The 14,082-nt window shown below is 40.6% G+C and overlaps 1 protein-coding gene across 13 annotated transcripts in view, besides 3 other annotated features; it reads left to right on the top strand.

Annotated features, from left to right (window-relative positions):
- The window catches only part of FBXW11 (F-box and WD repeat domain containing 11), a 145,090-nt gene that overhangs the window by 79,938 nt on the left and 51,070 nt on the right, over window positions 1–14,082 (top strand). For 6 of the 13 annotated variants that reach the window (NM_033644.3, NM_001378974.1, NM_001378977.1 and 3 more), the window contains one exon: window positions 12,296–12,358. The exons of 6 other annotated variants lie outside the window; for them this stretch is intronic. In NM_033644.3, the coding sequence (NP_387448.2) occupies window positions 12,296–12,358 (63 nt within the window). Of the gene's footprint in view, window positions 1–10,233; window positions 10,247–12,295; window positions 12,359–14,082 lie in introns of those variants that run through there. One more of the 13 variants, XM_005265857.2, reaches the window with a different exon arrangement.
- Window positions 440–499: an enhancer, noted in NCBI's record as "active region_23616". NCBI's record gives its function as "activates an Ori minimal core promoter by ATAC-STARR-seq in GM12878 lymphoblastoid cells {active_cell/tissue: GM12878}" and the evidence as "EXISTENCE:reporter gene assay evidence [ECO:0000049][PMID:35858748]".
- Window positions 3,174–3,674: an enhancer, noted in NCBI's record as "H3K4me1 hESC enhancer chr5:171350031-171350531 (GRCh37/hg19 assembly coordinates)". NCBI's record gives its function as "activates a minimal SCP1, AML or CMV promoter by ChIP-STARR-seq in naive H9 embryonic stem cells {active_cell/tissue: H9 hESC(naive)}" and the evidence as "EXISTENCE:reporter gene assay evidence [ECO:0000049][PMID:30033119]".
- Window positions 3,675–4,175: an enhancer, noted in NCBI's record as "H3K4me1 hESC enhancer chr5:171349530-171350030 (GRCh37/hg19 assembly coordinates)". NCBI's record gives its function as "activates a minimal SCP1, AML or CMV promoter by ChIP-STARR-seq in naive H9 embryonic stem cells {active_cell/tissue: H9 hESC(naive)}" and the evidence as "EXISTENCE:reporter gene assay evidence [ECO:0000049][PMID:30033119]".

Here is a 14,082-nt window from a genome sequence, read left to right as displayed (position 1 = left end):
GGGTTTAATTGGCTCATGGTTCTGCAGGCTATATAGGAAGCATGGCAGCGTCTGCTTGGCTTCAATTATGGCAGAAGGCGAAGGGGAAGCGGGCACTTCGTGTGGCCGGAGCAGGAGGAAGAGAGAGTGGTGAGGTGCTACTTTTAAACAATCAGGTCTCGTGAGAACTCACTCACTCATGCCACGACAGCACCAAGGGGGTTGGTGTTAAACCATGAGAAACCGCTCCCATGATTCAGTCACCTCCCACCAGGCCTCACCTTCAACAATGGGGATTACAATTTGACAAGAGGTTTGGGTGGGGACACAGATGCAAACTGTGTCAGAGCCCTGCTTGGGTGCCAGGATTATCTCTTAAAATTTTCTCACTTACTCTGCCAGGGAGGCCCTGTTTTCACCTCAGTTTTGTGGATGAGGACATAGGCACAGAGAGGTCAAGTGGAATACAGCACTGCTGGACCTTTCAGTAAGAGTTTCTGTTTCCCTAGACCACAGCATATATATCTGGGGTCTTGGTGTGAATCTTTTACTTACTTTTAAAGTTTAACTTCAAAATCACTTTTCCTTGCTGTTAAAAAGATACGTGTGTACTTTAAGGAAAATTTAGGTAGGATAAGTAAGCAAAAATCAAATAAAAATTACAGAGATAATATTGTAAGCACATGGTTGCTTTTGTAAATAGTAAAATAAATTTTATTTGTAAAGATGAGATTGTACAGATATATTGTGACTTGCTTTTTTCCCACTTAAAATAGTTTAGGCCTTTTCCCCTATCATTGTTCTTCTAAAATAGTGTTTCCCTGACTTTGGGCAGTTTGAGTACAAACCTCACAATTTTTGACATGTCTGCACACCATTTGTTCTTTTACCTGCTGACCATGTTTTAAAAATCTACTTTGTAAAGTAAATCAGAAAAGGGAACTGTAATCACTACATGACTGGAAAATCAGTGGTGCTTACTGGCGTAGATTAGTGTAAAAGTAAATACCATTAAAAAACCCCAACCTGGGCAACATACTGAGATCTTGTCTCCATAAAAGAAAAATAAAAAAATTAGCCAGGCACGGTGGCATGCACCTGTGGTCCCAGCTACTTGGGAGGCTGAGGCTGGAAGATTGCTTGAGCTCAGGAGACTGAGGCTGTAGTGAACCATGATCATGCCACTGCACTATAGCCTGAGTGACAGGACAAGACTTTGTCTCAAACAAAATAAAACAAAACGAAAAACCAAAAACCCATATGACGTTTTAGCCAGATACTGTTTTTTTTGTTTGTTTGTTTGTTTGTTTTTTACAGAAAATTGAACAGTAGCCTGGCTCTTTTTGTTAAAAACAGGTGATGGCAGATATTAGAGAGGTGTGAAAATATCTTTTGATGAAATTAGAATTGAAAGCAAACTGAAAAGGTAGTAACTTTTAGTATGGGATTTATTATACTCTGCTAACCTTTAGCAGGGTTTTTCAGGGGTTTTCAATGTAAGAAATGAAATTTATGTTTATACCTAGTGTGTGTGTGGTAATTTTTATATATATGCATGTGATGCAGGATGTTTTCTGTGCTGCTTCGCCAGCTGGAGACTTTGCAGCTGGCAGTGCCCCTGCCCAGGGCCGCGCTCCGCCCTGGGCTTGCTGTTGGAGGTATCTTGCCCACTTGGCCTGGTGGGCTGCTCTTAGCGCCCTGGCCCTGATCCCGCACTCAGTCTGTGCCGGGGCCAGGCGTGCTGTAGCCTGCTTCTGCCTTGGGCACCGGCATCTAGACAAGGGGGAATGCGGTGGCACTTGAAACTTTTGGAGACACCAGCATCCGCGTGACCCCAAAGAGGGTGTTACAGCATGTCGCAACTCTGGCTCTGGGAGTGGCGAGGTCTGGGGCCCCAGAAGGGTTGTAGCTCTTCTCTCCTCTCTGCAGCACTACCAATCAGCGGGGGTGGGGGGGTGGGACGTGTTTCAGCCCACTTATGTTACAGCTCATTTAATCCTGTCGCCCTGCTCTGGCCCACGGCTCCTGGGCTGGCCTGGCCCCGTGGCTGCTTCCTGTCATGCGGGGCTGCTGCCTGGCACCGGCAGAGGGTGGAGGGCTACAGTATTACAGCGTTTTACCTACCCATGTTCGGTAGGTCCTGAGTTCTTGTCCCGCATCCAAGAAGAATGAGGTTATGCTCACAACCAGAGGGTGAGCAGGGCGGAAAGTTTTATTGAGCGACAAAACAGTTCTCAGCGGAGAGGGCACTCAAAATGGGCATAGTCCCCCAGTGTGGCTGAGTTCAGGGTTTTTAATAGTCACAGAATGGGAGAGGTGCGGGCAGTAAGTAGCATTGGAAAAGGCAATGTTTGATTAAAAGGCATTATCCAGAAAGAAACAATTGGGAAAGAGCTGGCAAACAGGAATAGAAATTCTCACTCTGGGTCGTGGGCTTCATCCAGAACCAGCAGCCTTGTCTTCAGGCTTCAGGCTGTTTTTAGCTTGAAGGTGGGGTTTTGGCTGGGTGCAGTGGCTCATTCCTGTAATCCCAGCACTTTGGGAGGCCGATGTGGGTGGATCACGAGGTCAGGAGTTCAAGACCAGCCTGGCCAACATGGTGAAACTCCATCTCTACTAAAAATACAAAAATAGTTGGGTGTCGTGGCGGGTGCCTGTAGTCCCAGCTACTCGGGAGGCTGAGGCAGGGAATTGCTTGAACCCAGGAGGCGGAGGTTGCAGTGAGCTGAGATCGTGCCACAGCACTCCAGCCTGGGCAACAGAGCAAGACTCTGTCTCAAAAAAAAAAAAAAAAAAAAAAAAAAAAAAAAAAGGTGGGGTTTCACCGCGGACCCTCCCCTGTCTGCCTAGGATTTTGTCTGCCTTCTGCTGCTATCACGTGTGTATGTGTTATGTCTGTATAGTCAGGAAAATTGCCGCCATTTTTAATTGTAAGATATTGATTATAAGAAACATCTCTATTTCAGAGACGTTAAAATGTGAAAAAAAAAAATACATCTTAGAATTGATGAAGTAGAGGATATAATATGTGCTCTATTCTATTTCAGTTTTAAAAAAAATGCTGGTTATCCCTTAAATTGATATTTTAAACTATAATGGATTGCAGTCTCCAGTTGGAAAAACATGGACTTAAAATTTAAAAATATGAATCTTAATTTCTGCTTTACTTAAAAATCAGTAAAGATGAATTTTAAATGAAAATGTACAAGGTAAAATAAAACCTAGGTGTGGAAGAATATCTTTATGACGTTAGAAGAAAAAAGATTTCTTGAGCAAGATGACAGCATAAATAAGAAAGGAAACAATTGACAAATTAAACTTCATTAAACTTTATTACTTCTGTTTATCAAAAGACACCATTAAGAGAATGAAAAGTTAAGCCACAGATTGAGAGAAGACCTTTGTAATAATATATTTGAGAAAGGAGTTCATTCTAGAATATATATAGAATTTCTAGAAATCAGTAAGAAAAAGTCTAACTAAAAATTGATTAAAAGCTTTGTTATCCAGGCTGGGTGTGGTGACTCAGCCTGTAATCCCAGCACTTTGGGAGGCTGAGGCGGGCAGATCATTTGAGGCCAGGAGTTCGAGACTAGCCTGGCCAACATGACGAAACCCCATCTCTATTAAAAATACAAAATTAGCCGGGCATGGTGGTGCACGCCTGTAGTCCCAGCTACATGGGAGGCTGAGGCACGAGTATTGCTTGAACCGCGGAGGCAGAGGTTGCAGTGAGCTGGGATTGTGCCACTGCACTCTAGCCTGGGCAGCAGAGCATGACTCTGTCACACACACACACGCACACACACACACACGCACACACACGATTGGTGATGACAAAAAGAAGAAAAACATTCGTCCACATTCATTCTTTAAGGTATTTTTGGTATCATTTCTTGTCGTATAATGTCAATAACAATGAAATACTTGTTACAAATTTGAGTGGAACTACAGTTTAGATTAATTAGAAGAGAACTTACTGTATTATAATAATCCATATAACAAATTTCAACCAAACTCCTAATGGATTTAAAATTTATTAGTGGTTTACATTTTTATGAGATGGCAGAAAGAAAATAACTGGTATATTCCTATATTTTAGTGTTTGTCCGGAGAGGGGAGAAGATTTCCAGTCAAGCTGTTTGATGGTGGTTGTGTTAATGTATGAGCACATATGGCCTTCTTCCTTCTGAATTGCCTTGTTTGTTTGAGAGATAGGAACTGCTATTTTAGACAAATTTATCTCTTCTTTTTCAAAATGAATACTTCTGGCTTTCTAGTGATTTTAATTCCCAGCAATGTGTTGGCAAGATTTGGGTTTTAGGGGCCTACGTGTAGGTAACAAGAACAATGAAAAGCTGTTTGGTTTGCCTTTACCAGTCATTGTTCTATGTATTTATCTTTGGAATTTATAGCAAGTAATAATTGGCGGAATATATTTAGATTTTTCTACTTGGCCTAATCTTAAATATGTAATAATCTGTTCCTGATTTCTAACTATATTTGGAATTTTCTTCTGTGACCTATATCAGTTTTTACAAAATGCTCCATGGAAAATTGAGAATAATATGTAGTCTCTTATTGGGTAGAAAGTTTGAGATATATCTAGTAAATCAAGCCCCTCCCTCCCTCCCTCCCTCCCTCCCTTGTTTGTTTGTTTCCAACTTTTCCCCTTTATGTACTGTTGCTTGGTGTGGTGACTTACCTGTAATCCCAGTGACTTGGGAAGCTGAGACAGGAGGATCACTTGAGCCTGGGAGTTTGAGATCAGCTTGAGCAACATAGCAAGACCCTGTCTCTGAAAAATTTTAAAAAATTAGTTGGGTGTTATGATGTGAACCTGTAGTCCTAGCTACTCAGGAGGCTAAGGTGGGAAGATTGCTTGAGCCCAGGAGTTCGAGGTTGTAGTGAGCTATGATCATGCCTCTGTACTTCAGCCTGGGTGACAAAGTGGAACCCTGACTCTTAAAAAGCACTCTTCTTTTTGAATCTTGCTTTTCAGAGATTTAAAATGTAAATATTGCTCTCCTTGCAATAAAGACCCTTGCTTTCCTTTTAATTTGAATTTTTCTATGTTTTTGCTCATTTCTTTTAGGCTTTTTTATATGAATTTGTTATTTTGCTTACCTTTGTGTGTAGGGGATCTTCTCAATTCAGCTTTGTTTTATTAAAACATTCTGCTTGCAGTCTATTAAATTGATTTCATAGGCCAAAACCAGCAGTTGGAAAACACCTAAGACACATTTTTCTGTGTGGAAAGTACATTGATTTCTGAGTAGAACAGGCTTAGGTCTGAATCCTGTGTCTCTCATTTACTAGCTGTGTGACTCTTAACTGTTAATTACTTAATGCAGAATTTGCAGCATTTTTAAAGCAGGAAATTGATTCCTCATATAATTCTCAAAGTAGAGAGTTTTCCAATTGAAATATATTCTGTGTCAGTTCGTGGCTCCTATGTTAAACATATATCACTGCTAAGAGCCTGTTGTACCTATACATAAACTAAATGAAACTGGAGGCTAGGTCATTGGAACCAGCCTACCACTTCCGTTGATTGGTATGAAAGAGAGAAGGGGGAATGTACAGAAGAGATTCTAGGATTATTGAAATGCTCTGAAGAAAGAATGAATTCTAAGTGGTAGCTGAGATTCCATAGCAGACACAGTATTGCTGTACTAAATTACCCAGTTGATGAAAACATCTTGACAAGTTTTCAAGTCACAATATTGTGGGATTTTTTTGTTTGTTTGTTTTAGAATGATGATGCAATGGGGTCCACTTTCTCAGGTTTTGTTTGGTTTTATATAGAATTCAGTTTCAGAAATGTAATTTACATCTCGGCTACCTAGAATGCATTCGTTTCCCAGGGCGAAGACTTTTTGCATTGGGGTCGCCATGTTCATGAAAATGCACAGATAAAAAGGAAAGTTACTTTTGCTAATCTGTTTATCATATTAAAAAAACACACTATATGTATTTTCAGTTATTTTTTATTTTGTTTATTAGTATTATTGCTTTTTTATAGAGATGAAGCTTGCTCTGTTGCCCGGGCTGGAGTGCATTGGCATGATCTTAGCTTATTGAAGCCTCAAACTTCTGAGATCCTCTTGCCTTGGCCTCCTGAATAGTTACGAGGCTTGGCTTATTTTTAAATTTTTTTAAGAGATAGAGTCTCACTGTGTTGTGCAGGATGGTCTCAAACTCCTCGCCTCAGGCAGTCCTCCTCCCTCGGCCTCCAAAGTGCTGGGATTTACAGGAGTAAATCCACTGTGCCCAGCCCTTCAGGGTTTTTTTTTTTTTTTTTTAAATAGCGGTGTGGAATTTGATTATGCTTCCCATCCTCCTTCACCGAACATATCTGTGATCAGTTGGCATGAAGTTTCCAAATCTGACTCTGAGGATAATGGAGACCTGACTAAATGAACTAACCAGACACCATCCAAACCAGTCATCCCTAGAATGGAAGCTTACGCTACTTCCACTTATGTTCAGAATTCAGTTTATGAAGACAGAGTAACTGTGCCTGTGTTTTCTCTTCTTTTCTTTTTTTTTGTTTTTTGAGACAGAGTCTCGCTCTGTTGCCCAGACTGGAGTGCAGTGGTGCGATCTTCGCTCACTGCAACCTCTGCCTCCTGGGTTCAAGAGATTCTTCTGCCTCAGCCTCCCAAGTAGCAAGTAGCTGAGACTACAGGCATGTGCCACCATGCCTGGCTAATTTTTGTATTTTTAGTAGAGATGGGGTTTCACCATGTTGGCCAGGATGGTCTCGAACTCCTGGCTTCAAGTGATCCGCCCACTTCAGCCTCCCAAAGTGCTGGGATTACAGGCATGAGCCACTGCGCCCAGCCTGTGTTTTCTTTGTGATGGTGGGAAGAGTGTCTTTGAAACAAGATTAGGATCTTCATTGTGCTGCAAATAGCTATAATATATATGCAGTCTAACTGGGAAGGTAGTGTCTTACAGAGTCTAGCTTTGAATCTTGGTACTTTTTGATGTGTAACCCAAGGCAAGTTGTGTAACATTTCTGAGCTATGGTTCCCCCAATGTGTAAAACAGGATATAGGTGCTATCATACAAGGTCATCATTAAAGGTAATTTATATAAAGTTTCTATCACAATGCCTGACCATCATAGGCAATCATTAAATAACAATTATTTTCTCTATTCTTCTTTGGAGCTACTTGATAAGGTATATAGTTGGTCATGTTTTTAATATCCAGTGAATGACTGGTTTCATAATTTTTCCTTGTAAAAGACACCCAGGAACAGGCGTTAGAGTATTGTGGTATTTGGTAGTTATGAAATATCACATATTGGGATGGAGTCTGTCATGATACCATCAGTGCAGCTTCCTTACTTAGGTTGGTGCTACCACATGGGCTGCATCATTTTGCCATAGCAATGATTTTTGAGCAGAGATAGATCAGAATTACTTGGAGAACTTGAAAGGAAAACGTATGCCTAGGCTCCATCTGCTCCATGATCAGCTGTATATATATGGCTTCCTGTTATTTATAGTCCTCATTCATGCCCCAAGTCCATGGACCTCTAGTAAAGAACCACTGATAACCATGGTTTTCCAAATATGAATTTAATGGCAAGCAGGACGTAGCCCTGAATTTAGATATCAACATACTTCGTGAATTACCCTACCATGGCGAGGTCAGGATGTATGTGAATAGCATCACAGACTGTCACACGGGCCAAGGAAAGATGGCTAAGGAGAAAGAAGGGCCAGGCCTGAGATGGTAGTGCCTTAGTATATTCTCCCACGGTGTCAAGTTTAGGAGCCCACATCCCTAGAGCACTGGTTTTCAAGTGGAGAGAGTGATTTAGCCCCCTTCCCTGGGACATTTGGCGATCTGGAGACATTTTTGATTCTCACAGTTCAGAGGGTGTGGAATGCTCCTGGCACAGGCACTGGCCAAGGATGCTGCTAACCTTCTATAATGCACACAGCAGCCCCACAACAAAGAAATATCCATCTCAAAATGGTAATAGTACTAAAATTGATCTGCCTGAGAGTCTAGCTTCTTCTTCCTAGGTTATATCTTTGATTGGTAGTAGTATCAGAATAATAGGAGGGTCTGCATTGTAATCTATTTACGTGTGATGCTCCTTGGTAGACATAAGAGGAAGGAAATGATGAGAAGGGTAGAAAGTAAACTGGTTGGTATTTCAAATAACTTTTCCTTCTCATAAGTGTTGGAGACTTAAAGAGGATTTCAACTCTCAGATTGGCCATGGTTTCACATGAGAGTTTGGATATAGGAAATGACCTTTCTTTTCTCTTGGGAAGCTCATTGTTTTTTCTTACCTCACCCTTGAACCTGTGACCTTTTGTCTCTTGCCTTTAAGGAATAAAATTCAAAGTGATTAAAAAAATTATAGCTTCCATAAGAGAATTTTCTATTTTTGCCATCACCACTTATTCCTGCGACCCTGTGTACGGATTGAGTATCCCTTATCTGCTTGGGACCAAAAGTGTTTCTGATTTTGGAAATGTACAGATTTTAGAATATCTGTATTATACTTTTGGAATTAGGATTTTTGCATGTGGGATGCTCAACCTGTAGCAGGCTGAGAAAGATGATGGGGAATAGGAGAGGACTGTATTGTATTTAACAAAGTGGGTGTTTCCTTTGTCTCCCAAAAGTATTTGGTGAAGAGAGAGGAAGGAATTACGCCAGGCTGTTGCTCTAGTCCAGTGTTTGCCAATATGTGCTGAGCTATTATTAATAGATATTATTATAAAATGGGGGCTGTCCATGTCCAACAAACTTGGGAAAGTTGGATTAAATGAATTTAACCTAATTTTAAAATAATAGTATATTATAGAACCTTTTGTATCTTAATGGAGTGTATTGTAACTTCTGAGAGACATATATATAAAATATATCTCTGAATTGAATATATATATTTACACACACACACACACACACACACACACACACAGAGTGAGTCTAGAGTGCAAGGATGTGTATAGCATTTCTCTAATTTCTAAACCTAATTAGACTCTTGGATGCTTTTTTCTCCAGACATCTTTTGCATTGCCTGGAATCCTCTGGATCCTCTGGTCAGTGTAACTTGAGAGCAGCATTTTCCCTTTGGTGTCTTCTGAAACCTTTATAAAAGAAGTGGAAAAGTATGTAGGATGGGAGAACTATTGCAGCCCCCATGGTTTTATTAAAAACAATTTTATTAAATTGTATGTCTAGCCTTCTTTATGAAGCCTTAAGGCAATAGCTGCTATTTTCTTCAGGGGGTTGTTTCCTTATCAACCATATAAGTAAACATCATTTCTCTGTTTTGGAATAAATGAAGAGTGAAATTTTCTCACTGTGAAGAGTTGTTTCATGTATAGTGTACAGGGAAGTCTGACATTTCTTGTGTTTCCATCTTAAGTAAAGAAAATATTAAGGTGGTTTAGGTCACAATAGCTCTGGAGGATTCTGGCTCCTATATTTCAAAAGCTTTTAGTTTAAAACATATATACATCTCTTGGCTGGGTGCAGTGGCTCATGCCTGTAATCCCAACACTGTGGGAGGCTGAGGCGGGCAGATCACGAGTTCAAGAGATCGAGACCATCCTGGCCAACATGGTGAAACCCTGTCTCTACTAAAAATACAAAAATTAGCTGGGCATGGTGGTGTGTGCCCGTAGTCCCAGCTACTTGGGAGGCTGAGGCGGGAGAATCGCTTGAAGCCGGGAGGTGGAAGTTGCAGTGATTTGAGATCACACCGTTGCACTCCAGCCTGGCGACAGAGCAAGACTCCGTATTTAAAAAACAAAACAAAACAAAAAAACCCCACAAAAAACAGAAAACAAAACAAAACCATATATACATCCCTCATATGTTTCCTCTGCAGTACCTGGAGACATGGGGTGGGGACTGACTTCCCATCTCTCTTCCACTTAATTCCTCATTCCTTTCCGTGCTCCACCTTTCATGTTTCCAGCCATTTGTTCTCCTTACCACTCTTAGAACCCAGACATTGTGGCCTTGCAAGACGGCTTTGTAACTACCAAACTCAGGGGATGCTGTACTGAGTCACTGCTCCCCCTTTCTTTATTCCCCTGAGGAAACCTGCTTGCTTTAAACTCTTAGGTCCCTTCAAGATAGCAATGAAAAGATTACATGGAGAGACCTCCATAAATACTACCTTTGTTTCCTTGTTCTTCATCCCATTCAGAATTACTTACTGCTTTCACCACTCCAGTCCTGTTTTGGACTCTTGGACACACTGCCTTCCTCTCTAGCTCATGGTTGATTTTCACATAGAGCCCCACCCTCCTGTCCCTCTCCCTCATTGTGGACCTTGATGCTGTGGGGTTTATAAGATTTTACTGAGAAAGTCAGGTTTTCCCCATAGGCGGCCATCTGGAGCATCCTGTCAAAATCTCTGAAATTAGAAAAGCATAAGAAGATAACACAGGGGAAAAGTAGCATCTTTTTTTTTTTTTTTCTCATTTTTTTTTTAAATTATACTTTAAGTTCTAGGGTACATGTGCACAATGTGCAGGTTTGTTACATATGTATACATGTGCCATGTTGGTATGCTCCACCCATTAACTCGTCATTTACATTAGGTATATCTCCTAATGCTATCCCCCCACCTCCCCCCACCCCACGACAGGCCCCAGTGTGTGATGTTCCCCTTCCTGTGTCTCCAGTGTTCTCATTGTTCAATTCCTACCTATGAGTGAGAACATGCAGTGTTTGTTTTTTTGTCCTTGCGATAGTTTGCTGAGAATGATGGTTTCCAGCTTCATCCATGTCCCTACAAAGGACATGAACTCATCCTTCTTTATGGCTGCATAGTATTCCGTGGTGTGTATGTGCCACATTTTCTTAATCTAGTCTATCATTGATGGACATTTGGGTTGGTTCCAAGTCTTTGCTGTTGTGAATAATGCCACAGTGAAAAGTAGCATCTTCAAATCGGAGAGTGAAGTAATGTTTTTTGGAATACCCATTATGCACTAAGCATTGTGTAGGGCAGTCTCCATCCCCACAACAACTCTGTGTGTTTGTATTTGTTCCCATGGTAAAAGAACTTGCTCAGGCTCACACACACACACACACACACACACACACACACACACAGAATGAGTGACCAAATCAGGAATCCAACTTCTCTTTGGCTTCAAAGCCTTTGACTTTCCTACTCCATCATACTGCATTCCTGATCAGAGCCAGTTTTGTGACCTGTAGAGCAGCTAGTGTTCAGTGGTGATTCTTACATCATTACCTACATTGGTATTTTCAAATGGATTGTTTGGAAATACTGTATAAATAGTCCAAACATTTTAGGACTTGTAGAACATAAAGGAAAAATAGGGAAAATTTGAGAGAGGCTTATTCCCTAAAGACAACAAACAGGATCTTGTAAAACACTGATACCTTAAATAGATCTATAATATCCTTTTGAATAATACTATGAGACAAATGTTGTTTAAATTTTATACCCCAGTCTTATAATTTTAGGTTTTGGAAGGAATTTAGAGAGACTGCTATCCATAAATGAGTTGTTACTCTTTTCAGAGCACAACTAGCCCACTTCCCCTTCTCATTAAGTTTCCATTTAGCCATTAGGTGGGAGCTTCAAAAGGGAAAATCCAATCATGTATAATCTCTAGTTAATGGGCATCTATTGAGCGACTGGATCACCAGAAAGAATAATTACACAGTACCTCTTTGTGCAGTAAGCACAAAAATCAAAAGCTAATGCATTCCCAAGGCAAGCCAGATTGTTACTGGCTAACAGCATCCTCCTCTTCAGGGAGAAGGTTGGGGCACCCGCTATGCTTGCTAGCAGAGATTGCAAAGCCATTCCAGAAAAACAAGGCTATCAGGGGAGGAAAGACGAAGGCAGGGGGGCTTCCAAGGCTTTGCTACTTCTAATTGCGGATTCCTTGGGGTGCATTACTGAATAGCAGACCTTCTAGTAAATGTTTTGTGCAATCATCGGAAACCTCATGGGTCTTTGGAATTTCTTGTCACAAGTACAAAAACAGTGATGACGGAGGTTGAGCCTCAGCCTTACTCCCACAATTTAGCCTTTTTTTCTAAGCACACCCAACCTTTGTAAATAATGACTTTATGCTTGCTTTTGTCTAACCACTAACTTTATCGATTTATGAAAGATGAGCACATCTCCCTTGACCCAAAATGGCATGTGTTAGCCACAAAGCCAAATAGTTCTTGGGTTTGTATTGGTACACTCTAGTTTGGGTTTTCAAAATTATTTATTGTAGTTATTTAGGATTTGCAAAACTTGGTATAATTCAAATAACCTGTTTTTCCCCCCCTAGAACACTTCAGTTATGGAAGATCAAAATGAAGATGAGTCCCCAAAGAAAAATACTCTTTGGCAGGTAGGAATGACGGCGCACAGATTAGATAGCAACTGACTTACTGTAGATAGGATGCTCCCTCAGTTAATGTCCTCAGTGGAATCAAGAGCCAAGCATTTTGTTTTCTTTTGTGCAGTTTTGCTAGTTTCAGAATCCACCCTAATTTATCTTCATTCCATAGGGAATTGTCATTACAAATATGCTAAATAATTTTGGAGTTTCCACAAAGATTCTGAAGTTGGCTGTAGCCTAAAATGTTCTGTCTGTGGCCTCTGCCTAAGCCAAAGATGGACAGTGATGGCATCCTTTGTCACCAGAATGGCACCATGCCACACACCAGTGTATACATGGATGACCTTTTCTCCTTTTGCTCTCAACCTTTACTCTTCTCTCCCATTTCCATTGGTTTGCCTTTTCCTTTTAAGCTTGTCTCCTTCTCCCTTGGCTCTAGTTTAAGGTTTGCCAGTTTTCTTCCCAATTTCCCAGGTTGTGTGTGTGTGTGTGTGTGTGTGTGTGTGTGTGTGTGTGTGTGTGTGTGTGTGTGTATGTGTGTGTGGTTGGGGGTTTGGGGAGCAAGCAAAGTTTCACGATTTGGTGGTTTATCAACCATGCTGGTACACATGGCTTTCCCCTTCATGAAGACAGGATTAAAAGCAAAACAAATCTAAATCTGAAGATAATAATGTAAAAATAAATTCTCTGGGTTCATTTGATTTGAAACTGAAAAGATAGATTAGTTAGCAGGAACAAAGTGCATCCAACACATTTAAGAGGAAATGAAGCAAAGAAAAACAATGCTAGGAAGAGCTTGCTGGGCTGAGCACGTGGCTGGAAATAGCATATTGAAAATGTGCTATAGAATAGTGCACATGCTGTTATTTTCTTCTTAACACTGTGTACAGACTGAGTTTTGTACCCTCCACGTTTATTATTTTGCAGTGGGATGCTCTTCATTTACTATGATTTTTCAATTGGCAGTGGTTCTTCACACTTTAGCTTTCAGTTTTTCTTTCATTTATCTTTCAGTCAACTAGTTAATAGTTATACAAACACTCTAGGGAGGCCAGATGATTAGGAACTTATCTGTAAATAAAATAACACTTTTGTTTATCAAATGAATTAATGGCTGTGAAAGTACTTTGTAAATTATAAAGCAGTACACAAATGCAAGTTGTTATCATTATATTTAACCTGTTATGAACCATTATTTTGGCAAGTTATTTGGAATCAAATATAGAAATAAAGGGGGAAGGAAAGCATACATAGTTTTTTTTCTTAAGATAAGGCACTTTTGAGATTTTGATGTATATCCTTTACTCTGTCATGGTGTGTTCCCCTTGTCATGAATTACTGTGATCATAATGTTTTATAAAATCCTGGATCTTGCCTTTTGTTTCTTGATATTATTTCATAAGCATGTTCTGTTGCTATAAAAATATTACTTTTTTTTTTTTTTGACGCAGTCTTGCTGTGCACCCCAGGCTGGAGTGCAGTGGTGCAATCTCAGCTCACTGCACCCTCCGCCTCCCAGGTTCAAGCATTTCTCCTGCCTCAGCCTCCTGAGTAGCTGGGATTACAGGCGCCCACCACTATGCCTGGCTAATTCTTTTTGTATTTTTAGTAGAGACAGGGTTTCACCATGTTGGCCAGAGTGGTCTCGAACTCCTGACCTTAAGTGATCCAGCCAACTTGGCCTCCCAAAGTGCTGGGATTACAGGCATGAGCCACCATGCCTGGCCAAAATC

The sequence above is a fragment of the Homo sapiens genome, chromosome 5 (assembly GCF_000001405.40).
Source record: "Homo sapiens chromosome 5, GRCh38.p14 Primary Assembly".
NCBI lineage: Eukaryota > Metazoa > Chordata > Mammalia > Primates > Hominidae > Homo > Homo sapiens.
This window is presented reverse-complemented; position numbering and strand designations above follow the sequence as displayed.